Source organism: Homo sapiens, chromosome 7 (assembly GCF_000001405.40).
Source record: "Homo sapiens chromosome 7, GRCh38.p14 Primary Assembly".
Classification (NCBI taxonomy): domain Eukaryota; kingdom Metazoa; phylum Chordata; class Mammalia; order Primates; family Hominidae; genus Homo; species Homo sapiens.
In genome coordinates, this window is record NC_000007.14 from 63,726,597 (window position 1) to 63,751,396 (window position 24,800).

Here is a 24,800-nt window from a genome sequence, read left to right on the forward strand (position 1 = left end):
CAGATGGCTCAGTGGGTGTGCAGGAGACCTAAAGCAGGGGACACACTGAGTTTAGGGAGAGGTTTTTAAAATAGAAGAAGTTTGAGTAATTTAGATGATGGTGGGAAGGAGCTAAAAGAGGGGGATAGGTTAAAGATACAGGGAAGTGGGAGGAAGAACTGACAAGTGAGGTTCCAGAGAGGGCTGGAGAAGAGGAGATTCCCATAGGGGGATTAGCACTTTCTTTTCTTTTCATTTTCTTTCTAAGACAGGGTCTCTGTCGTCCAGGCTGGAGTGCAGTGGCAGGATCTTGGCTCACTGTAGCCTAGACTTCCCAGGCTCAAGGGACCCTCCCACCCTAGACTCCCAAGTAGCTGGAACTACAGGTGTGTACCACTACCACACCTGGCTAATTTTTCTCTTTTCTTGGTAGACACAGGGTCTCATTATGTTTGTCAGACTGGTCTCCAACTCCTGGCCTCAAGTGATCCTCCTGCCTAGGCTTCCCAAATTGCTGGGATTACAGGCTTGAGTCACCATGCCTGGCTTCTGCTAGTTCTGTATTCTGTAGAGTTGTCTTTAATTTGTGCTAGTGTGTCCCTCATTATGCTGATCCTCTGTTAAAATTAATATTTTTTGTTTTGAGATGGAGTGTAGCTCTTATTGCCCAGGCTGAAGTGCAATGGCACGATCTTGGCTCACCGCAACATCCGCCTGCCAGGTTCAAGTGATTTTCCTGCCTCAGCCTCCCAAGTAGCTGGGATTTACAGGTATGTGCCATCACACCTGGCTAATTTTATATTTTTAGTAGAAACGGGTTTTCTCCATGTTGGTCAGGCTGGTCTCAAACTCCTGACCTCAGGTGATCCACCTGCCTCTACCTCCCAAACTGCTGGGATTACAGACGTGAGCCACTGCACCTGGCCAAAATTAATACTTCTTATATTAAATTTACATATATTGTTTTTCTTCTTTTTTTTTTTTTTTTTTAATACCGGGTCTCATGCTATCACCCAGGCTGGAGTGCAGTGGCACAATCTCTGCTCACTGCAACCTCCACCTGCCAGGCTTAAGCAGTTCTCCTGCCTCAGCCTCCTGAGTAGGTGGGATTACAGATACATGCCACCACACCTGGCTAGTTTTTGTGTTTTTTGTAGAGATGGGGTTTCACCATGTTTCCCAGGCTGGTCTCAAACTCCTGTGCTCAAAGCGATCCACCCGCCTTGGCCTCCCAAAATGCTGGGATTATAGGTGTGAGCCACTTTGCTCATTCTAGTTTAAACTTTTGAGTGGTTTGTGTCTCCTGATTGGACTCCTACAAATACAGAATTGATGATAGGAAGGATTCCAGGAGATAGACGCACACAGATGGGATTTGGGCATAGGTTTGGTTATCCAAGGAGCAGTGCTCAGCTGCTTTCCAATGGGACATGGGATGCTGGTCATTTCCAGGAAGTGACCTCACAATGACTCAAGCTACCACTTACTGTTGATTGTGATGAAATGCCAGCTGAGCCATAGGCCCTGCGAGCTTAGGAGTGCTACACTTGAACACTGTGGCAGTAAATATGACTCTGAAGAAGGGCATGGGATGGATCCTTTCAGATGCACTTTAGCAGGGGTCTCCAACCACAGGGCCACAGAGCCGGAGGTGAACAGTAGGCGAGTGAGGGAAAACTTCATCTGTATTTCTAGCCCTCCCATCACTTGCATGACCACCTAAGCATGATGTCCTGTCACATCAGCAGCAGCATTAGATTCTCCTAGGAGCACAAACCCTGTTATGTGCATGTGAGGGATCTAGGTTTCGTGCTCCTTATGAGAATCTAATGCCTGATGATCTAATGCCTGGGGTGACTGTCTCCCATCACCCCAGATGGACAGTCTAGTTGCAGGAAAACAAGCTCAGCGATCCCACTGATTCTACATTTTAGTGAGTTGTAGAATTATTTCATTATATATTACAATGTAATAATAATAGAAATAAAGTGCGCAATATACGTAATGCACTTGAATCATCCTGAAATCATTTCCTTCACCCCAGGTCTTTGGAAAAATTGTCTTCCACACATTCACTCTGTTATTTTTTGGTAGAGACAGGGCCTTAATATGTTTTCCAGGCTGATATCAAACTGCTGGCCTCGAGTAATATACCTCTCTCAGCCTCCCAAAGTGTTGAGATTACAGGCAGAAGCCACCACGCTCAACCAAGACTGAGTTTTTTAAACCAAATAAAAATTAAATGAGATTACCTGAGCCCAGGTGGTCAAGGCTGCAGTGAGCCCTGATTGCAGCACTGCACTCCAACCTAGGTGACAGAATGAGATTCTGTCTCAAAAAATAAAATAAAATAAAATACAAATTAATCCTTTATGACATTCCCAGTAAGTTTCCCTCCTAAGTGTTCCCCAAAAGGCTATGAATTTAGTTAGTTTCACATACCATTTAAAACATTTAAGAACTTATGTCTGTCTGTGTCACCGTTCTATTTCAAAAGAATGTCTTTTTGTCACTTCCAGCTGGATCTACCATGAAAGACTTCAGAGTCCAGGAAGAGAGACTGACTGGGCAACATGTTATTCAGGTACAAAAAGACTTGGAATATAACTCAAAAATGATCAAATAATAGTTCATGCATCAAGTGCAATGGGAAGCTCTTCTGGAGGGTGAGAGAAGGTTCCAGTTAAGGTGACTTTTGAAGCCAAGTCCTGAAAGATGAGGAAGAGTTGTATGAGAATGGGGTGGGAAGGGGGAGGTGGAGGGGAATGGGCTGGGGTGGGATGGAGTGAGCTGCCCAGACAGGGAAACCAGCACTGTAATGACCTGAACAATGAAGATGGCACATTTTTTTTTTCAGGAAGTGGTGAATTAAGTGTGGCAGGAATACTTTGTAGCGACAGTAATTTGCTTGTATGGAATTTTGCCTGAGAGACCTCACTACAGTTTCTAATCTTTTGATGTTATCATCCATCCCTGTCCTTGTCAAATAGTTTGGAATAGGTATGATGATCACAATAACACCAAGCATAATAGCTCATTAATTCTCACAAAATGACAGGTAGGTGCCACAGTTATCCTCATTTTATGAATGAAGTGATGAAGACTTAGGGATAACGAATGATTTGCCCAAGCTCACCTGGATATTAAGACTGAGTCAAATGTTGGGTCTGGTCTGACTTTAATGTTTGCTTTGTTCATGAGCACCACATATTGCCTCTCCTATGCAGTTAAGCAGGTAGACAGGTCAAAGAAAAGCCTGTGTTTGTCTCTGCTCATGCACTTTTGACTGAACATGTGTGTGGAGTTTGTATACCAAGTTTTCCAGTGTCCTGGATATTAACTGGGTATCCCACAATTTTATTCTGACACTACGTGGAGTTAGCACAGACTCCACAGATTAGGGGCTTAGTCCCACGAGACTATCCTCACTTCAGATGCCAGTGGCAAGTCCTAGGTTGTCACCTGTACTTTTGTCCAACCTGTTACAAATCAGGGTTTCCAATGACCCTCTTCTTGGGTTTAATGATTTGCTAGAATGGTTTACAGAACTCAGAAAAACAGTTTATTTTCTTTTTTCTGAGAAACAGGTTCTCATTTTGTTGCACAGGCTGGTGCGCAATGGTGCAGTCATAGCTCATTGCAGCATCAACTGCCTGGTCTCCAGTGGTCCTCCCACCTCAGCCTCCGTAGTAGCTGAGACTACATGCTTGCACCACCACATCTGGCTAATTTCTTTTATTTTTTTTTGTAGAGATGGGGTCTTGTTGTGTTGCCCAGGCTGGCCACAAATTCCTGGGCTCAAGTGATCCTCCCACCTCAGCCTCTTAAAGTGCTAGGATTACAGATGTGAGCCACTGTATCTGGCCAGTTCATTTCCTATTACTGGTTCATTGTAAAGGATACATCTCAGAAACAGCCAATGAAAGAGACGTACTTTCCGGATGCGGTGGCTCATGTCTGTAATTCCAGCACTTTGGGAGGCTGAGGTGGGAGGATTACTTAAACTCAGGAGTTTGAGATCAGCCTGGGCAACATGGTGAAAACCCATCTCTACAAAAAATTAGAAAAATAAAAATAAATAACCGGGTGCAGTGTTGTGCATCTATTATTCCAGCTACTAGGGAAGGTGAGCCGAGAGGATGCCTTGAGCTGGGGACTGGGGAGGCTTAGGTTGCTGTGAGCTGAGATTGTGCCACTGCACTCCAGCCTGGACAAAAGAGCCAGACCCTGTCTCAAAAGAAAAGAAAGATGCCCAGGGCAAGGTAAGTTAGGAGGGGCACAGAGCTCCCATGTCCTCTGTTGAACATGCCACCTTGCCAACATCTCCTGTGTTCAGCAACCCCAGAAGCTCTGCAAACCCCATTCAGGGTGTTTATGGAGGCTTTATTATGCAAGCATGATTGGTAAAATCTTTGGCCGTTGGTGATTAAGTCAATCTTCAGCCCCTCTTTCTCCTGGAGTTGAGTGCATGAGGCTGAAAGTTCCAAGCCTCTAATCATGTGATTGCCCCCAAAGTTCTTAGAGGGTCTTGTGTTAGAAACCTGGGACCAAGACTAAATATTGAAAACAAAAGATGCTCCTATCATGTCTATCACTGAGGTCTTTGTAAGAGCTTTGGAAGCTCTGTGCCAGGAACCAGGGACAGAGATTAAATATGTATTTATTTTCTTTTTTTGAGACAGAATCTCCCCGTGTCATCCAGACTGGAATGCAGTAATGTGATCATAGCTCACTATAGCTCTGACCTCCTGAGATCAAGCCATTCTCCCTCCTCAGCCTCCCAAGTAGCTGGGACTACACATGCATGTCACCCACACCCAGCTCGTTTTCGTAGAGATGAGATTTAGTTATGTCACCCAGGCCGATCTCAAACTCCTGGGCTAAACTGATCATCTCACCTCAGCCTCTCAAGTAGCTGGGACTACAGGTGCACACCACCATGTCCGGCTAATGTTTATTTTAATTTTTTTCTAGAGGTGGGATCTCACTATGTTGTTCAGGCTACTTTCAAATTTTGGGCTTCAAGTGTTTCTCCTGCCTTGATCTCCCAGTGTTGGGATTATGGGTGGGAGCCACCATGCCCAGCAATCACAAGGATCTTTATGAAAGAAAGAGGGTAGGACAGTTAGAATTGGAGCAGGAGATGTGGTGATGGAAGCAGAGATCAGAGAGGGAGATTTGAAGATGCTTCACTTCTAGCTTTGAAGACGGAGTCAAGGGCCATGATCCAAGGAATGTCGGTGGCTTCTAGAAGCGGGAAAAGCTAAAGGAACACTATAGAGTCTCCAGAAGGAATGCAGCCCTGCTGACACCTTGACTTTAGCCTTAATAGACCTGTTTTGGGCTTCTGGGCCCCAGAACTGTAAAATGGTAGATTTGTGGTGTTTTAAGCCACTAAATGTAAGAAACTGCAAACTGTTGCAGCAGGAAGAAGAACATGAAGCCAGTCATGGTGGCTAATGCCAGCAATCCCAGCACTTCAGGAATTTAGACAGGAGGATCACATGAGGCCAGGAATTCAAGACCAACCTGGGCAACATGGTGAGACCTTGTCTCTATGAAAAATAAAACAATTGGCTGGGCACAGTGGCTCATGCCTGAAATTTCAGCACTTTGGGAGGCCGAGGTGGGTGAGTCACCTGAGGTCAGGAGTTCGAGACCAGCCTGGCCAACATTGCAAAACCTTGTCTCTACTAGAAATACAAAAATTAGCCAGGCATGGTGGCAAGCACCTGTAATCCCCACTACTTGGGAGGCTGAGGCAGGAGAATCACTTGAATCCAGGAGGTGGAAGTTGCAGTAAGCTGGGATTGCACCATTGCACTCCAGCCTGGGCAAGAAGAGTAAAACTCCATCTCAAAATTTAAAAAAAAATAAAATAGGTCTGGCAGCCAAGATGGCCGAATACGAACAGCTCCGGTCTACATCTCCCAGCATGAGCGACGCAGAAGACAGGTGATTTCTGCATTTCCATCTGAGGTACCAGGTTCATCTCACTAGGGAATGCCAGACAGTGGGCGCAGGACAGTGGGTGCAGTGCACCGTGCGCGAGCCAAAGCAGGGCAAGGCATTGCCTCACTCAGGAAGCACAAGGGGTCAGAGAGTTCCCTTTCCTAGTCAAAGAAAGGGGTGACGGACGGCACCTGGAAAATCAGGTCACTCCCACCCTAATACTGCGCTTTTCTGATGGGCTTAAAAAACGGCGCACCAGGAGATTATATCCCGCACATGGCTTGGAGGGTCCTACGCCCACAGAGTCTCGCTGACTGCTAGCACAGCAGTCTGAGATCAAACTGCAAGGCGGCAGCGAGGCTGGGGGAGGGGCGCCCGCCATTGCCCAGGCTCGCTTAGGTAAACAAAGCAGCAGGGAAGCTGGAAGTGGGTGGAGCCCACCACAGCTCAAGGAGGCCTGCCTGCCTCTGTAGGCTCCACCTCTGGGGGTAGGGCACAGACAAACAAAAAGACAGCAGTAACCTCTGCAGACTTAAATGTCCCTGTCTGACAGCTTTGAAGAGAGCAGTGGTTCTCCCAGCATGCAGCTGGAGATCTGAGAACGGGCAGACTGCCTCCTCAAGTGGGTCCCTGACCCCTGACCCCTGAGCAGCCTAACTGGGAGGAACCCCCCAGTAGGGGCAGACTGACACCTCACACAGCCGGGTACTTCTCTGAGACGAAACTTCCAGAGGAACGATCAGACAGCAGCATTCGCGGTTCACAAAAATCCGCTGTTCTGCAGCCACCGCTGTTGATACCCAGGCAAACAGGGTCTGGAGTGGACCTCTAGCAACCTCCAACAGACCTGCAACTGAGGGTCCTGTCTGTTAGAAGGAAAACTGACAAACAGAAAGGACATCCACACCAAAAACCCATCTGTACATCACCATCATCAAAGATCAAAAGTAGATAAAACCACAAAGATGGGGAAAAAACAGAGCAGAAAAACTGGAAACTCTAAAAAGCAGAGCATGTCGCCTCCTCCAAAGGAACGCAGGTCCTCACCAGCAATGGAACAAAGCTGGTTGGAGAATGACTTTGACGAGTTGAGAGAAGAAGGCTTCAGATGATCAAACTACTCTGAGCTACAGGAGGAAATTCAAACCAAAGGCAAAGAAGTTAAAAACTTTGAAAAAAGTTTAGAAGAATGTATAACTAGAATAACCAATACAGAGAAGTGCTTAAAGGAGCTGATGGAGCTGAAAGCCAAGGCTCGAGAACTACGTGAAGAATGCAGAAGCCTTAGGAGCCGACGCGATCAACTGGAAGAAAGGGTATCAGTGATGGAAGATGAAATGAATGAAATGAAGCGAGAAGGGAAGTTTAGAGAAAAAAGAATAAAAAGAAATGAACAAAGCCTCCAAGAAATATGGGACTATGTGAAAAGACCAAATCTACGTCTGATTGGTGTACCTGAAAGTGACAGGGAGAATGGAACCAAGTTGGAAAACACTCTGCAGGATATTATCCAGGAGAACTTCCCCAATCTAGCAAGGCAGGCCAACATTCAGATTCACGAAATACAGAGAACGCCACAAACATACTCCTCGAGAAGAGCAACTCCAAGACATAATTGTCAGATTCACCAAAGTTGAAATGAAGGAAAAAATGTTAATGGCAGCTAGAGAGAAAGGTCGGGTTACCCACAAAGGGAAGCCCATCAGACTAACAGTGGATCTCTCGGCAGAAACTCTACAAACCAGAAGAGAGTGGGGGCCAATATTCAACATTTTTAAAGAAAAGAATTTTCAACCCAGAATTTCATATCCAGCCAAACTAAGCTTCATAAGTGAAGGAGAAATAAAATCCTTTACAGACAAGCAAATGCTGAGAGATTTTGTCACCACCAGGCCTGCCCTAAAAGAGCTCCTGAAGGAAGCACTAAACATGGAAAGGAACAACCAGTACCAGCCACTGCAAAATCATGCCAAATTGTAAAGACCATCGAGGCTAGGAAGAAACTGCATCAACTAACGAGCAAAATAACCAGCTAACATCATAATGACAGGATCAAATTCACACATAACAATATTAACTTTAAATGTAAATGGACTAAATGCTCCAATTAAAAGACACAGACTGGCAAATTGCATAATCAAGACCCATCAGTGAGCTGTATTCAGGAAACCCATTTCACGTGCAGAGACACACATAGGCTCAAAATAAAAGGATGGAGGAAGATCTACCAAGCAAATGGAAAACAAAAAAAAGGCAGGGTTGCAATCCTAGTCTCTAATAAAACAGACTTTAAACCAACAAAGATCAAAAGAGACAAGGCCATTACATAATGGTAAAGGGATCAATTCAACGAGAAGAGCTAACTATCCTAAATGTATATGCACCCGATACAAGAGCACCCAGATTCATAAAACAAGTCCTGAGAGACCTACAAAGAGACTTAGACTCCCACACAACAATAATGGGAGATTTTAACACCCCACTGTCAACATTAGACAGATCAACGAGACAGAAAGTTAACAAGGATACCCAGGAATTGAACTCAGCTCTGCACCAAGCGGACCTAATAGACATCTACAGAACTCTACACTCCAAATCAACAGAATATACATTTTTTTCAGTACCACACCACATCTATTCCAAAATTGACCACATAGTTGGAAGTAAAGCTCTCCTCAGCAAATGTAAAAGAACAGAAATTATAACAAACTGTCTCTCAGACCACAGTGCAATCAAACTAGAACTCAGGATTAAGAAACTCACTCAAAACAGCTCAACTACATGGAAACTGAACAACCTGCTCCTGAATGACTACTGGGTACATAACAAAATGAAGGCAGAAATAAAGATGTTCTTTGAAACCAACGAGAACAAAGGCACAACATACCAGAATCTCTGGGACACATTCAAAGCAGTGTGCAGAGGGAAATTTATAGCACTAAATGCCCACAAGAGAAAGCAGGAAAGATCCAAAATTGAAACCCTAACATCACAATTAAAAGAACTAGAAAAGCAAGAGCAAACACATTCAAAAGCCAGCAGAAGGCAATAAATAACTAAAATCAGAGCAGCACTGAAGGAAATAGAGACACAAAAAACCCTTCAAAAAATTAATGAATCCAGGAGGTAGTTTTTTGAAAGGATCAACAAAATTGATAGACTGCTAGCAAGACTAATAAAGAAGAAAAGAGAGAAGAATCAAATAGACGCAATAAAAAATGATAAAGGGGATATCACCACCAATCCCACAGAAATACAAACTACCATCAGAGAATACCACAAACACCTCTATGCAAATAAACTAGAAAATCTAGAAGAAATGGATAAATTCCTCAACACTTACACCCTCCCAAGACGAAACCAGGAAGAAGTTGAATCTCTGAATAGACCAATAACAGGATCTGAAATTATGGCAATAATCAATAGCTTACCAACCAAAAAGTCCAGGACCAGATGGATTCACAGCCGAATTCTACCAGAGGTACAAGGAGGAACTGGTACCATTCCTTCTGAAACTATTCCAATCAATAGAAAGAGGGAATCCTCCCTAACTCATTTTCTGAGGCCAGCATCATCCTGATACCAAAGCTGGGCAGAGACACAACCAAAAAAGAGAATTTTAGACCAATATCCTTGATGAACATTGATGCAAAAATCCTCAAGAAAATACTGGCAGACTGAATCCAGCAACATATCAAAAAGCTTATCCACCATGATCAAGTGGGCTTCATCCCTGGGATGCAAGGCTGGTTCATTATACACAAATCAATAAATGTAATCCAGCATATAAACAGAACCAAAGACAAAAACCACATGATTATCTCAATAGATGCAGAAAAGGCCTTTGACAAAATTCAACAACGCTTTATGCTAAAAACTCTCAATAAATTAGGTATTGATGGGACGTATCTCAAAATAGTAAGAGCTATCTATGACAAACCCACAGCCAATACCATACTGAATGGGCAAAAACTGGAAGCATTCCCTTTGAAAACTGGCACAAGACAGGGATGCCCTCTCTCACCACTCCTATTCAACATAGTGTTGGAAGTTCTGGCCAGGGCAATTAGGCAGGAGAAGGAAATAAAGGGTATTCAAGTAGGAAAAGAGGAAGTCAAATTGTCCCTGTTTACAGACGACATGATTGTATATCTAGAAAACCCCATTGTCTCAGCCCAAAATCTCCTTAAGCTGATAAGCAACTTCAGCAAAGTCTCAGGAAAAAAAATCAATGTACAAAAATCACAAGCATTCTTATACACCAATAACAGAGAAACAGAGCCAAATCATGAGTGAACTCCCTTTCACAATTGCTTCAAAGAGAATAAAATACCTAGGAATCCAACTTACAAGGAATGTGAAGGACCTTTCAAGGAGAACTACAAACCACTGCTCAAGGAAATAAAAGAGGATACAAAGAAATGGAAGAACGTTCCATGTTCATGGGTAGAAAGAATCAATATCGTGAAAATGGCCATACTGCCCAAGGTAATTTATAGATTCAATGCCATCCCCATCAAGCTACCAGTGACTTTCTTCACAGAATTGGAAAAAACTACTTTAAAGTTCATATGGAACCAAAAAAGAGCCCGCATTGCCAAGTCAATCCTAAGCCAAAAGAACAAAGCTGGAGGCATCACACTACCTGACTTCAAACTATACTACAAGGCTACAGTAACCAAAATAGCATGGTACTGATACCAAAACAGAGAGATAGATCAGTGGAACAGAACACAGCCCTCAGAAATAACACCACATATCTACAACTATCTGATCTTTGACAAACCTGAGAAAAACAAGCAATGGCGAAAGGATTCCCTATTTAATAAATGGTGCTGGGAAAACTGGCTAGCCATATGTAGAAAGCTGAAACTGGATCCCTTCCTTACACCTTATACACAAATTAATTCAAGATGGATTAAAGACTTAAACATTAGACCTAAAACCATAAAAACCCTAGAAGAAAACCTAGGCATTACCATTCAGGACATAGGCATGGGCAAGGACTTCATGTCTAAAACACCAAAAGCAATGGCAACAAAAGCCAAAATTGACAAATGGGATCTAATTAAACTAAAGAGCTTCTGCACAGCAAAAGAAACTACCATCAGAGTGAACAGGCAACCTAGAAAATGGGAGAAAATTTTCGTAACCTACTCATCTGACAAAGGGCTAATATCCAGAATCTACAATGAACTCAAATTTACAAGAAAAAAATAACCCCATCAAAAAGTGGGCAAAGGACATGAACAGACACTTCTCAAAAGAAGACATTTATGCAGCCAAAAAAACACATGAAAAAATGCTCACCATCACTGGCCATCAGAGAAATGCAAATCAAAACCACAATGAGATACCATCTCATACCAGTTAGAATGGCAATCATTAAAAAGTCAGGAAACAACAGGTGCTGGAGAGGATGTGGAGAAATAGGAACGCTTTTACACTGTTGGTGGGACTGTAAACTAGTTCAACCATTGTGGAAGTCAGTGTGGCGATTCCTCAGGGATCTAGAACTAGAAATACCATTTGACCCAGCTGTCCCATTACTGGGTATATACCCAAAGGACTATAAATCATGCTGCTATAAAGACACATGCACACGTATGTTTATTGCGGCACTATTCACAATAGCAAAGACTTGGAACCAACCCAAATGTCCAACAATGATAGATTGGATTAAGAAAATGTGGCACATATACACCATGGAATACTATGCAGCCATAAAAAATGATGAGTTCATGTCCTTTGTAGGGACGTGGATGAAATTGGAAATCATTATTCTCAGTAAACTATTGCAAGGACAAAAAACCAAACACTGCATATTCTCACTCATAGGTGGGAATTGAACAATGAGAACACATGAACACAGGAAGGGGAACATCACACTCTGGGGACTGTTGTGGGGTGGGGGGAGGGTGGAGGGATAGCATTAGGAGATATACCTAATGCTAAATGACGAGTTAATGGGTGTAGCACACCAGCATGGCACATGTATGCATATGTAACTAACCTGCACATTGTGCACATGTACCCTAAAACTTAAAGTATAATAATAAAATAAAATATATATAAAAAATAAGTAAAATAAAATAAATAATAAAAAAAAATGAGCCAGGGATGATAGCATATACCTGTAGTCCCAGCTACTAGGGAGGCTGAAGTGGGAGGACTGCTTGAGCCTGTGAATTTGAGGTTACAGTGAGCTGTGATTGCACCGCTGCACTCCAGCCTTGGTGACAGAGTGAGATCTTGTGAAAGAGAGACCGAAAGAGAGAAGAAACAGAAAAAGAAAAAACATGAGCATGGTGGGCATGGGGACAGATGGCAATGTTAAATAGAATGGTCAGGGGTGTCCTCCTAAGTGAAAATTGAGCAAAGACTTGAAGGAGGGGAAGGAGTTGGCCAAGGTGCTGAGGGAAGAGGATTATAGGCAGAAAAACAGGATAAAGTGTCTGAGGTGTGTCTGAGGCTCTAGAAGGAGGCCAGTGGAGCAGAAGGATAGAAGGAATTAGGGGAAGGGATCAGTACATATCACATAAGCCCTGGGAGGTTATTGCTGGGGCTTGGGCTTTGGCTTTTATTCTGACTGAGATGGGAACTGTGGGAGGGTTCTGAGCAGAGAGGCGACATGATCTGTCTCCTGATTTGAAAGCATTCTCTGGCTGCTCATTTTAGAAAGGCTGTGGGAAGATTTGGGTAGAAGCATGGGGGCCAAGCTGTGGCAACATCCAGGCAGGAGATATTAGTGGTCTTGACCAGGGTCGTGGTGGTGAGAGATGGTCAGAGGAGAGAAGTAGGGGAGGAGGCCAGGGAGTTGCTGGGTGGGAGTCCAGTACGTGGTGAAGACAGTCAACAGGATTTCCTGACAGACTGGATGTGGGGTGTGAGAGAAGGCAGGGGTCAAGGTTGAGTTTGATTCTCACTGAATTATTAAGTAATTTTAAAAAAACACTACTGCCTTTCTCAATCCTACCAAGTATGGGATGCTAGATTAAAGAAATCTCTTCATTTTCAGTGCAGTGGCTCATGCCTGTAGTCCCAGCTGTTTGGGAAGCAGAGATGGGAGTATCTTTTAAGGACAGGAGTTCAAGACCAGTGTGGGCAACATAGCAAGACCTCCTCTCTACAAAAATGTTTTTCAAAATTTAATAAAATAAATGTAGGTAGGCATGGTGATGTATACTTGTAGTCCCAGCTACTCAGGAGGCTGAGGTGGGCAGATCTCTTGAGGTCAGGAGTTTGAGGCCAGCTTGGGCAATATAGCAAGACCCCTCACTCTACAAAAAATTTAAAAAATAGCCAGATATGGTGGCACTCAACTGTAGTACCAGCTACTGGGGAGCTGAGACAGAAAGATGGCTTGAGCCCAGGAGATTGTGGCTGCAGTGAGCTCTAAGTACACAACTGCACTCCAGTCTAGGTGACAGAGCACGACCTGTCTCACAGTACAAATAGAAATACAAATAAAATAATGAAATCTCAAGTTAGAGCCTTTTGTCTCTGCAGCCCTTGCAACCCCGGAGCTGTGCAGTGGGGTTTGTCTCTGGGAATGAGGAGACCCCTGCCCAGTGTTGTTGCCTGACTAATCATAGTGTTTTTAAAAATGTATTAATTGGGGTGGGTGCAGTGGCTCATGCCTGTAATCCCGGCACTTTGGGAGACCCAAGGGGATGGATCACCTGAGGTCAAGAGTTCGAGACCAGCCTGGCCAACATGGTGAAACCCCGTTTCTACTAAAAAAAACACAAAAATTAGCTGGGCATGGTGGTGGGCACCTGCCCAGCTACTTGAGAGGCAGAGGCAGGAGAATCACTTGAGCCTGGGGGCGGAGGTTGCAGTGAGCCGAGATCGCGCCACTTCACTCCAGCCTGGGTGAAAGAGCGAGACTCCATCTCCAAAAAAAAAAAAAAAAAGTATTAACATGTAATGATTTTATTATTAATATGTAATGTATATTAAATATTTTTAAAAACTTGTATTATATCAACATGTAATGGTTTTATTAATATGTGATAATATTTTTAAAATTTAGTCATTTTCTAATTTTAATATATTTATGTAAAGAAAAAGTCTTAAGAGATCTTCAATAAAGTTAAAAAATGTAAAAGGATGCTAGACCCCGAAAGATTGAGAACTTCTAGTTTAGAAATATTCCAAGTAAGCCACATACAACTTGCTACTTAATCTATTTTCTTTCTTTCTTTTTTCTTTTAGGAGATGGGGTCTCACCCTGTCACCCAGGCTGGAGTACAGTGGTGCCATCACAGCTTGCTGCAGCTTTGAACTCCTGGGCTAAGGATCCTCCTGCCTCAGCCTCCTGAGTAGCTGGGACTGTAGGTATACATGATGACACCTGGCTAATTTTTAAATTGTTTTGTAGACATGGGGTCTCACTTTATTGGCCAGGCTGTTGTCAAACTCCTGGCCTCAGGTGACCCTTCTACCCCTGCCTCCCATCCTAGAGGTATGAGCCACGACAACAAGCACTTGTTCAATTTTCTAAAAAAATAAAAAATGTCTAAAGGCTGTGGGATGATGGCAGGAAAAGTAGAAAAACAGAAAAGTTCAAATAACTTACTCACACATATTCTTTTGACAGCAAGGAGAACTTTTAGTATATATGTTCCTTACAAAAAAACAAAAGGCAAATAAACTGTTGTATAAGAACTTCAACACACACTGTACAATATTCCCACCTTGCTGACATCAGTTATGGAAATTCTTCGTGGTTTACTTGACTATCGCTATCAGTATTTTGCTTCTCTGATCATTTTTATCAACTTCCTCGTCAGTTAACTGCTCTCCAAGGTATATCGTATTGTGACATACTGCTGCTGCACAAACATGGCCAGCGTCTTCTTATTAAACATACACAATGCTTCCCTAATTTCTTTTTTTTACCATCTATCTCTGTGTTTTGCATTTTTCTTACCTTTATTGTCAGAGACTCCAAAAAGTCCGTTGTACTGATTTATCACAATTTGCTTCATTTATTTTTCGCTTATATGGAATTTTACCCAACAGATCTCATTAGAATTTCTAACCTGTTTTGTTTTTTTTTTCCCCCCCCAAGACAAGGTCTTGCTCAGTTGTCCAGGCTGGAGTGTGGTGGTGCTATCACAGCTGTCTTCAGTCTCAACCTCCCAGGCTCAAGCAATCCTCCCACCTCAGCCTCCCAAGTTGCTGAGACTATAGGTGCTTGCCTCTATGCCCAACTCATATTTGGACTTTTTCTATATGTGGGTTCCAGAGGGATGACTGCGAAACGTGAGTATGCATGGATTTTGTTATATGCAGAGATAGGTGGCTGGAACTAATTCTCTCTGTATACCAAGGGACAACTGTATGTGGTTTTACAATTATGCTGTGGGACACATATTGTTCCATAGCCTTTAAAATAATAATTTGTAATGACAAATAATTTTTAATGGAGTGGAATAATAATATTGATAAAAGTAGCAACTGGCCAAGTGTGGTGGCTCACACCATTAATCACAATACTTTGGGAGGCTGAGGCAGGAGGATGGCTTGAGGTCAAGAGTTTGAGACAGGTCTCGGAAAGAAAGGGAGTCACCATCTCTATAGAAAAATACATGAATTAGCCTAGTGTGGTGATGTGTTCCTGTAGTCCCAGCTACTTGGGAGGCTGAGGTGGGAAGATCACTTGAGCCCAGGGAAGCTGAGACTGCAGTGAGTCATGATCAGGCCTCTGCACTCCAGTCTGGGTGACAGAGTGACACCCTGTCTCAAAAAAGTAGCAGCTAACATGAAGTGACCTTTTACCAGGTGCCTATAAATATCATAGTTTAATTTCTTATAACTGTTTATTCCATTTAACTACTCTGTCTTCAATTACTCCTAGATTTTCACTGTGTTTGTACAGTTGACCTTTTGTTTAGATTGAATTGTCTCCCCAAGGTATTTCCAGAAGCAAGATTACTGTGAGTAATGGTGAATGGACATTCTCATTGCCCTTGATGTAAACTGACAAGGTTTTGGGTGCCTCCCAGCTATAATCCCAGCCCTTTGGAGGCTAAGACAGGACGATTGCTTGAGGCCAAGAGTTGGAGGAGGCAGTAAGGTGAGACCCTGTCTCTATTATTTTAAAAAATTGCCAACCTTTACCCTGGAAGGCTATGTACTACTTAAACACTCCTCATAGTATAAGAAAGTGTCCATTTCACTGCACCTCTGCCAGCACAGGGTATTATAATTTAATGTTTTTTTCATTATTTTAAATAGATAAAAGACCTCATGTTACTTTGTCACATTTTAACATCTTTCCTTAGCTTATTAGCTCTATTTCTTTTCTGTCTGTAAATGGTTGTTGTTGTTTTGTTCTTTGAGACAGGGTCTTGCTCTGTCACCCAGGCTTGATGACTGTAATGGCATAATCATGACTCACTGCAGCCTTGACCTCCCATGCTCAAACTACCCTCCCATGTCAGCTTCCCAAGTAGCTGGGACTGCAAGTGTGCACCAGCACTCCCAGCTAATTTTTTTCTTTTTTTGGTTAGAGACAGGGTCTTGCTGTGCTGTCCAGGCCGGTCTCTAGCTCCTGGCCTCAAGCAATCCTCCTGCGTTGGCTTCTGAAATTGCTGGAATTTCAGGCATGAGCCATGATGTCTGGCCTGTGCTAGTCTTTTATTTTCCAGAGTTCTCTTTACTTTGTGCTAGCCAATCTCTCATTATGCTGTTCCCCTGTTATAATGAATAATTCTCTGTGTTAAATTTTACCACTTTAAACCTTTGAATGGTTTATGTCTCCTGATTGGACTCTAATATGCTAGGAAGGGTCCCAGGAGATAAACCCACACAGATGGGATTTGGGCATAGGTTTGGTTATCCAAGGGGCAGTGCTGAGCTCCTTGCCAATGGGAAATGGAATGCTGGTGATTTCCAGGAAGTGACCTCACAATGACTCAAGCTACCACTTACTGTTGATTGTGATGAAATGCCAGCTGAGGCACATGCCTTGGGAGTTAAGTGGTTGCTGCACTTGACCACTATGAAGACTGCTGTGGGAAGGGTCCTTTTGGATGCACTTGAGCAGGGGTCCCCAACCCCTGAGCCATGGAGCTGTAAGGAGCCACACAGCAGGAGGTGAGTGGTGTCAAGTGAGGGAAGCTTCATCTGTATGTACAGCCACTCCCCTCTGCTCACATTCCTGCCTGAGCTGCTCCTCCTCTCAGATCAGCAGCAGCATTAGATTCTCATAGGAGCTCACACCCTATTTGTGAACTGTGCATGTGAGGGATCTAGGTTGCGCTGTCCCTATGAGAATCTAATGCCTGATGATCTGTCACTTTCTCCCATCACACTGAGAGGATGGGACCATCTAGTCGCAGGAAAACAGGCTTAACACGGCCACTGATTCTACATTATGGTGAATTCTATAATTTCATTATATCTTACAACATAATAGGGGAAATAAAGTACCTAATAAATGTAATGTGCTTGGCTCTTTTGGCCCAGCTCCTGCCTCCCAGCAGCCTCTTCAGGCCCAGAACTTTCTCCACTCAGCCGCTACAGACCAAGCTCATGACTCACAATGGCCTATTTAGGCCCATACCATATCTCACGACAGTCTCCGCAGATGAGGCTACTGCCTCACAACAGCCTCCACAGGCACAGCTCCATCGTTACAATGGCCTCTTTAGACCCAGCTCCTGCCTCCCAGCCTTCTCTCCAGGCCCTGAACTTTCTCAAGTCGACCTCACCAGGCCCAGCTCCTGCCACTCATTGGCCTCCCAAGGGCCAGCTTTTGCCTCACGGCCACCTTCCAAGACCCAGCTCCTGTTTTACAGTGGCCTCTTGAGGCCCATCTTCTGACTCCTGGCAGCCTGTACAGGCCCAGCTCCTGCCTTACAATGGCCTCTTTAGTCCCAGCTCCTGCCTCTTTGCAGGAGGCCCAAATGTCCGTAAGTCCAGGCCACAAAATCCAGGGCCAAAATGTCCACAAGTCAGCCTCTCAAGGCCCAGCTCCTGCCTTTCGTTGGCATCTCTAGGCCCAGCTGCTGCCCCCAGGTGGCCTCTACAGGCTGTGCTCTTTCTTCTGACTGTGTCTGGAGGTCCAACTCCTGCCTCAGAACAACCTCTTTTGGCTCAGCTCCTGCCCAGCTCCTACTGGCCTTTGTAGGCCCCAAACTGCCTCAAGTCAAGCTTTCCAGGCCCACCTTCTGCCTCCCAATGGCCTGGACAGGCCCAGCTCCTGCGTGACAATGGCCTCTCCAGGCCCAGCTTTTGCCTCACAGAGGCCTTCCCCAAACAAGGTCCTACCTGCCTCCCAGCAGCCTCAACAGGCCCAGATCCTGCCTCACACTAATCTCATTAGGACCAGCTCATGCCTCACGGTGGCCTCTCCAGGCCCAGCTCCTGCCCCCCGACAGGCTGTCCGTGCCGGAAACTTCCTCAAGTCGGCCTCTCCAGGCACAGCTCCTGCATCCCAGCAGCTTCTCTAGACCGAGAACTTTCTCAAGTCTGCCATTCCAGGCCCAACTTGTGCCTTCCGTCAGCCTCTACAGGCTCAACGTCTGCCTCACAGCAGATTTTCCCAGCCCAGCATGTGCCTCACTGCAGCCCCCTAGGCCAAGCTCCTGCCTTTCAGCAGCCTCTACAGGCCCCACTCCTGCCTCAATGGCCTCTCTAGGGCAAGCTTATGCCTCACAGTGGCCATTCTGGCCCAGCTTTTGCCTTTTGGCAGCATCTCCAGACCCAGAACTTCCTCAAGTGGGCCTCTCCAGGTCCAGCTCTTCCTCCCGGCTGCATCTCCAGGCCCACCTCCTACCTCACAACAACCTCTTTCGGCTCAGCTCCTGCCCAGCTCCTGGCAGCCTTTATAGGCCCAAAACTTTCTCACATCAAGTTTTCCAGCACAACCTTCTGCCTCCCGGCAGCTTGAATAGGCCCAGCTCCTGAAAGACAGTGGCCTCTCTAGGCTCAGCTCTTGCCTCACAGAGGTCATCCCTGGCCAAGTTCCTGCCTGCCTCCCAGCAGGCTCAACAGGCCCAGCTCCTGCCCCTGACAGTCTCTCCAGGCCAAAATCTTCCTCAAGTAGGCCTCTCTACAGGCTGATCTCTTGCCTCACACTGGCCTGTTTAGGCCCAGTTCATGCTTCTTGGCAGCCTCTCCAGGCCCAGCTCCTGCATCTTGGCCTCTCCAGGCCCAGCCTCTGCCTCCCGTCGGCCTCTACAGTCACAACATCTGCCTCACAGCAGATTCTTCAGGCCCAGTATCTGCCTCACTGTGGACCCCCCAAGCCAAGCTCCCAACCTTTCAGCAGCTTCTACACACCCAGCTCCTGCCACCCAGTGGCCTCTTTAGGCCAAGCTGATGCCTCACAAGGGCCTTTCCAGGCCCAACTTTTGTCTCATGGCAACCTTCCCTGGCCAGATTCCTGCCTGTCTCCCAGCAGCCTAGACAGGCCCAGGTCTTGCCTCACACTGGCCTCTCTACATCCAACTCATGCCTCACGGTGGCCTCTCCAGGCCCAGCTCCTGTCCCAGGACGTCATCTCCAGGCCCAAAACGTCATCTCCAGGCCCAAAACTTCCTCAAGTCAGCCTCTCTAGTCCCAACTGCTGCCTCCTGGTGGCCTATGAAGGCCCAAAATCTCCTCAAGTTGACCTCTCCAGGCCCAGCTCCTGCCTCCTGTCAGTGTCTACAGGCCCAACCTCTGTCTCATGGCGGCTTCTCCAGGCCCAACTCTTCCTCTTGGCTGAGTCTACAGGCACAACTGCTGCCTCACAACAGCTGCCTCACAACAGCCTTTTTTGGCCCAGTTCCTGTCCAGCTCACGGCAGCAAATGTAGGCCCAAAACTTCCTCAAGTAAAACTCTCCAGGCCCACCTTCTGCTTCCCGGTGGCATGAACAGGCCCAGCTTTGACTTGAGAACAGCCTCTGCAGGCCCTCCTCTTACCTCTCAGGGGCTTCTCCAGGCCCAGCTCTTGTCTCATGGAAGCTGCTCCAGGCCAAGTTTCTGCCTGCCTGCCAGCAGCCTCAACAGGCACAGCTCCTCCCTCACAGTGGCCCATTTAGGCCCAACTCATGACTGTCGGGCCATTTCCAGGCCTAGTGCCTGCCTCCTGGCTGACTCTTGAAGCCCAAAACTTCCTGAAATTAGCCTTTTGCTCAACTTCTGTCTACTGTCGGACTCTACAGGCCAGCCTCTGCCTCACAGTGGACCCTCCAGACCCAGATGGTGTCTCACTGTGGCATCCTCAGGCGGAGCTCCTGCCTTTCGGCAGCCTCTACGGGCCCAGCTCCTGCCTTGCAATGGCCTCTTTAGGCCAAGCTCATGCCCCATGGCGACTTTTCCAGGCACAGCTTTTGCCTTTTGCAGCCTGTCCAGGCCCAGAATGTGCTTAACTCGGCATCGCCAGGACAAGCTCATCCTCCCGGTGCGTCTACAGGCCCGTCTCCTGCCTCACAACAACCTCCTTTGGCCCAAATCCTGCTGAGCTGCTGGCAGCCTCTGTAGGCCACAGACTTCTTAAAGTAAAGCTTTCCAGGCCCACCTTCGGCCTCCCAGCAGCCTCAGCAATCAAACTATTCCCTCACTGCGGCCACCGAAAGCCAAGTTTCTCCCTGCCTCACGGCATCCTCCGAAAACTGAGCATTTGCCTCACGGTGGCCTCCCCAGGCCACGAATCTGCCTGCCTCCCAGGCAGCTGCTGCCTCACAATGGTCTCTTTAGGCCCAGCTCATGCTAGAAGACGGACTCTCCAGGCACAGCTCTTGCCTCCTGGCAGCCTCTGCAGGCCCAAATTCTCCAAAAGTTGGCCTCTCCTAACTCAGCTCCTGCCTCATGTCGGCCTACACAGGCCCAGACTCTTACCACACAGTAGACCCTCCAGGCCCACCACTTGCCTGAGTATAGCCTCCTAAGGCCAAGCTCCTGCCTTTCAAGCAGCCTCTACAGGCCCAGTTCCTGCCTCGCAATTGCCTTTGTAGGCCAAGATCGTGCTGCGAAGTGGCCTTTCCTAGCCTAACTTTTGCTTTTTGACGCATACTCCTGTCCCAAAACTTCCTCCAGTCAGCCAGTCCAGGGCAAGCTCTTCCTCCCAAAGGCCTCTGCAGGCCAAAATCGTCCTGAAGTCACCCTCTGCAGGCCCAGCTCCTGCCTCCAAGTGCTGTGTAGGCCAAGCTAATGCCTCACAGCACACTTTCCAGGCTGAGCATTTCCTTTTGTGCATACTCTCCAAGCCCTGAACTTACTCTAGTTGGCCTCTCCAGGCCAAGCTCTCCCTCCCAGTGGCCTCTACAGGCCAAAATTTTTCTCAAATCAGCCTCTCCAGGGCCAACTCCTAGCTACCGGTGGCTTCTGCACACCAAAATCGACCTCAAGTCAGCCTCTCCACACCCAGCTCTTGCCTCTAAGTGGTCTCTGCAGGAGCAAAACTTCAAGTCGGCCTCTCCAGGCCCAGCCTCCTGCTTCCCAAGGGCATGTACAGGCCCAGCCTCTGCCTCACAGCAGACTCTCCACGCCCAGCTCTTCCCTGTCTGTGGCCTCTCCAGTCCAAAGCTGTTCCTGCCTTTCGGCAGCTTGTACAGGCCAAGCTCCTCCCTCACAGTGGTCTCTTTTGGCCCAACTCATGCCTCTTGCAACCTACCCAACTGTCAGCTCCTGCCTCACACTGGCCTGTTGAGGCCCAGCTCATGCCTCTTGTGGCCTCAACGGGCGCAGCCCCTGCCTGACGGTGGCCTCTACAGGCCCGGACTCTACCTCACAGTGGGCTCTCCAGGCCCATCTCTTCCTAACTGTGGCCTCCTGGGGCAATGCTCCTCCCTCTCGGGAGCCTCTGCGGGCCCAGCTCCTGCCTCCCAGTGGCCTCTGTAGGCGAAGCCCGTGCCTCAGGGCAGCCTTTCCAGGCCTAGCGTTTACTGCTTTGCATCCTCTCCAGGCCCTGGACTTCCTCCAGTCGGCCTCTCCAGGCTGAGCTCTTCCTCCCGGCGGCCTCTGCAGGCCCAGACTGTCAAGTCGGCCTGTCCAGAGCCAATTCCTGCCTCCTGGCAGCCTCTGCAGGCCCAAGTCATCCTCAAGTCAGCCTCCCTAGGCCTAGCTCCGGCCTCTCGGCGGCCTCTCCAGTTTCAAAAGTTCCTCGAGTCAGCCTCTCCAGACCCAGCTCCTCCTGTCTCCCAGTGGCCTCTTTCGGCCCAGCCCAGCTCATACCTCCCGGCGGCCTTCCCAGGCCCCGCTTTTGACTTTCGGTGGCCTCTGCAGGCCCCGAACTTGACGTCCAGTCAGCCTCTCCAGGCTCGGCCTCCTGCCTCCCAAAGGCTTGCACAGGCCCAGCATCTGCCTCACAGTGGACTCTCCACGAACAGCTAGGTCTCGCCTCACTGCGGCCTCCCGAGTCCAAAGCTCCTGCCTCTCGGCCGCTTCGGCAGACCCAGCTCCCGCCTGCCAGTGGTCTCTTCAGGCCCATAGGGCTCATTCCTCACAACGGCCTTTCCAAGCCCAGTTTTTCCCTTCCGGCGGCCTCTCCGGGCCCAGAAGCTCCTCAAGTCAGCCTCTCCAGACACACTTGCAGCCTCCCGGCGTCCTCTCCGGGCCGAACTCTTCCTACCGGCAGCCTCTGCAGGACCAGACTGTCGTCAAGTAGGCCTGTCTAGGGACAGCTCCTGCCTCCTGGTGGCCTCTGTAGGCCCAAGTCATCCTCAAGTCAGCCTCCCCAGGCCCAGCTCTGGCCTCTTGGCGGCCTCTCCAAGTGCAAAAGTTCCTCGAGTCCGTCTCTCCAGGTCCAGCTCCTCCTGTCTCCCAGTGGCCTCTTTCAGCCCAGGCCAGCTCATGCCTCCCAGCTGCCTTCCCAGGCCCCGCTTTTGACTTTCCACAGCCTCTGCAGGTCCCGAACTTGACCTCCAGTCGGCCTCTCCAGGCCCGGCCTCCTGCCTCCCGAAGGCTTGCACAGGCCCAGCCTCTGCCTCACAGCGGACTCTCCACGCCCAGCTCGCTCTCGCCTCACTGCGGCCTCCCGAGTCCAAAGCTCCTGCCTCTCCGCCACTTCGGCAGGCCCAACTTCCGCCTACCAGTGGCCTCTTCAGGCCCATGGGGCTCATTCCTCACAACGGCCTTTCCAGGCCCAGTTTTTCTCTTCCGGCGGCCTCTCCGGGCCCAGAAGCTCCTCAAGTCGGCCTCTCCAGACCCACTTGCAGCCTCCCGGCGTCCTCTCCGGGCCCAGCTCTTCCTCCCGGCTGCGTCTGCAGGCCCGACTCCTGCCTCCCAACAACCTCTTTGGACTCAGTGCCTGCCCAGCTCGTGGTGGCCTTGGTCGGCCCACAGCTTCCTCAAGCCAAGCTCCCCAGGCCCAGCTCAGGCCTCACGGTGGCCTCTCCAGGCTCAGCTCCTGCCCTCTGACGGCGTCTCCAGGCCCCAAACGGCCTCCGGTCGGTGGGCTTCTCCAGGCCCAGCTTGGGCCTCCCGGCGGCCTCTGCAGGCCCAAGTGGTCCTGAAGTCAGCCTCTCCAGGCCCAGCTCCGGCCTCCCAGCAAGCAAGCTCTTTTGGCTCAGCTCCTGCCCAGCTCCCGCCGGCTTTTGTAGACCCTGAACTTTCTCCAGCGAAGCTCCTCAGTCCCACCTCCTGCCTCCCGGTGGCCTGTACAGGCCCAGGTCTGGCTGGAGAACAGCCTCTGCAGGCCCCGCTCTTGCCTCCCAGGGGTGTCTCCAGGCCCAGCTCTCGCCTCACGGCAGCCTCCCGGGACCAAGTCCCTGCCTGCCTCCCAGCAGCCTGTGTGCGGCCCAGCTCCTCCGTCATGGTGGCCTGTTGAGGCCCAACTCATGCCTCTGGCACCCTTTCCAGAGGCGTGAGCCCCTGCCTCACATTGGCCTCTCTCACACTGAGGGAGGTCAGCGTGAGCCCCTGCCTCACACTGGCCTCTCTCACGCTGAGGGAGGTCAGCGTGAGCCCCTGCCTCACACTGGCCTCTCTCACGCTGAGGGAGGTCAGCGTGGGCCCCTGCCTCACACTGGCCTCTCTCACGCTGAGGGAGGTCATCGTGAGGCCCTGCCTCACACTGGCCTCTCTCACGCTGAGGGAGGTCAGCGTGAGGCCCTGCCTCACACTGGCCTCTCTCACGCTGAGAGAAGTCCTCCCTCACGCTGGCCTGTTGAGGCCCAGTTCATGCCTCTGTTGGCTTCTCCAGGCCCAGCCCCTGCCTGTTGGCGGCCTCTACCTCAACAGTGGGCCCTCCACGCCCACCTCTTGCCTCGCCGTGGCCTCCTCGGGCCAGGCTCCCACCTTGGGGCGGCCCCCGCAGGCCCAGCTCCTGCCTCACGGCCCTCCGGAGGCCAAGCTCATGCGTCAGGGCGGCCTCTCCCGGCCTGGCGTTTGCTCCTTTGCATGGGCTCCAAATCCTGCACTTCCTCCAGTCGTTCTCTCCAGGCCCAGCTCTTCCTCCCAGCAGCCTCTGCAGGACCAGACTGTCGTCAAGTAGGCCTGTCCAGGGACAGCTCCTGCCTCCCGGCAGACTCTGCAGGCCCAAGTCGTCCTCAAGTCAGCCTCCCCAGGCCCAGCTCCGGCCTCTCGGCGGCCTCTCCAGGTGCAAAAGTTCCTCGAGTCCGTCTCTCCAGGTCCAGCTCCTCCTGTCTCCCAGTGGCCTCTTTCAGCCCAGCCCAGCTCATGCCTCCCGGCGGCCTTCCCAGGCCCCGCTTCTGACTTTCCGCGGCCTCTGCAGGCCCCGAACTTGACCTCCAGTCGGCCTCTGCAGGCCTGGCCTCCTGCCTCCCGAAAGCTTGCACAGGCCCAGCCTCTGCCTCACAGCGGACCCTCCACGCCCAGCTCGCTCTCGCCTGCGGCCTCCCGAGTCCAAAGCTCCGGCCTCTCCGCCGCTTCGGCAGGCCCAGCTCCCGCCTGCCAGTGGCCTCCTCAG

At 48.7% G+C, this 24,800-nt stretch overlaps 1 protein-coding gene, 1 long non-coding RNA gene and 3 pseudogenes across 2 annotated transcripts; all 5 read left to right on the forward strand.

The window, feature by feature from the left end:
• The first annotated feature begins 709 nt into the window (after nt 1–709).
• On the forward strand, nt 710–13,030 carry LOC105375315 (uncharacterized). Its single transcript, XR_927571.2, has 4 exons — nt 710–749; nt 2,499–2,563; nt 2,837–2,979; nt 12,950–13,030. It is a non-coding gene; the product is annotated as an uncharacterized LOC105375315 (long non-coding RNA).
• Nucleotides 13,031–17,390: 4,360 nt separating this feature from the next.
• Nucleotides 17,391–21,310, forward strand: LOC124901642 (uncharacterized; annotated as a pseudogene).
• Nucleotides 21,311–21,381: 71 nt separating this feature from the next.
• Nucleotides 21,382–22,584, forward strand: LOC112267999 (putative uncharacterized protein FLJ44672; annotated as a pseudogene).
• Nucleotides 22,584–24,042, forward strand: LOC112267913 (vegetative cell wall protein gp1-like; annotated as a pseudogene).
• On the forward strand, nt 23,935–24,752 carry LOC124901649 (putative uncharacterized protein FLJ44672). Its single transcript, XM_047421146.1, has one exon. The coding sequence runs from the start codon at nt 24,053–24,055 to the stop codon at nt 24,584–24,586; it is 534 nt and encodes a 177-aa protein (XP_047277102.1). The 5' UTR covers nt 23,935–24,052; the 3' UTR covers nt 24,587–24,752.
• Nucleotides 24,753–24,800: the final 48 nt, after the last annotated feature.

Coding starts and splice junctions, on each gene's coding strand:
- LOC124901649 (XM_047421146.1), top strand. CDS start 24,053: ATGCCTCTGTTGGCTTCTCCAGGCCCAGCCCCTGCCTGTTGGCGGCCT.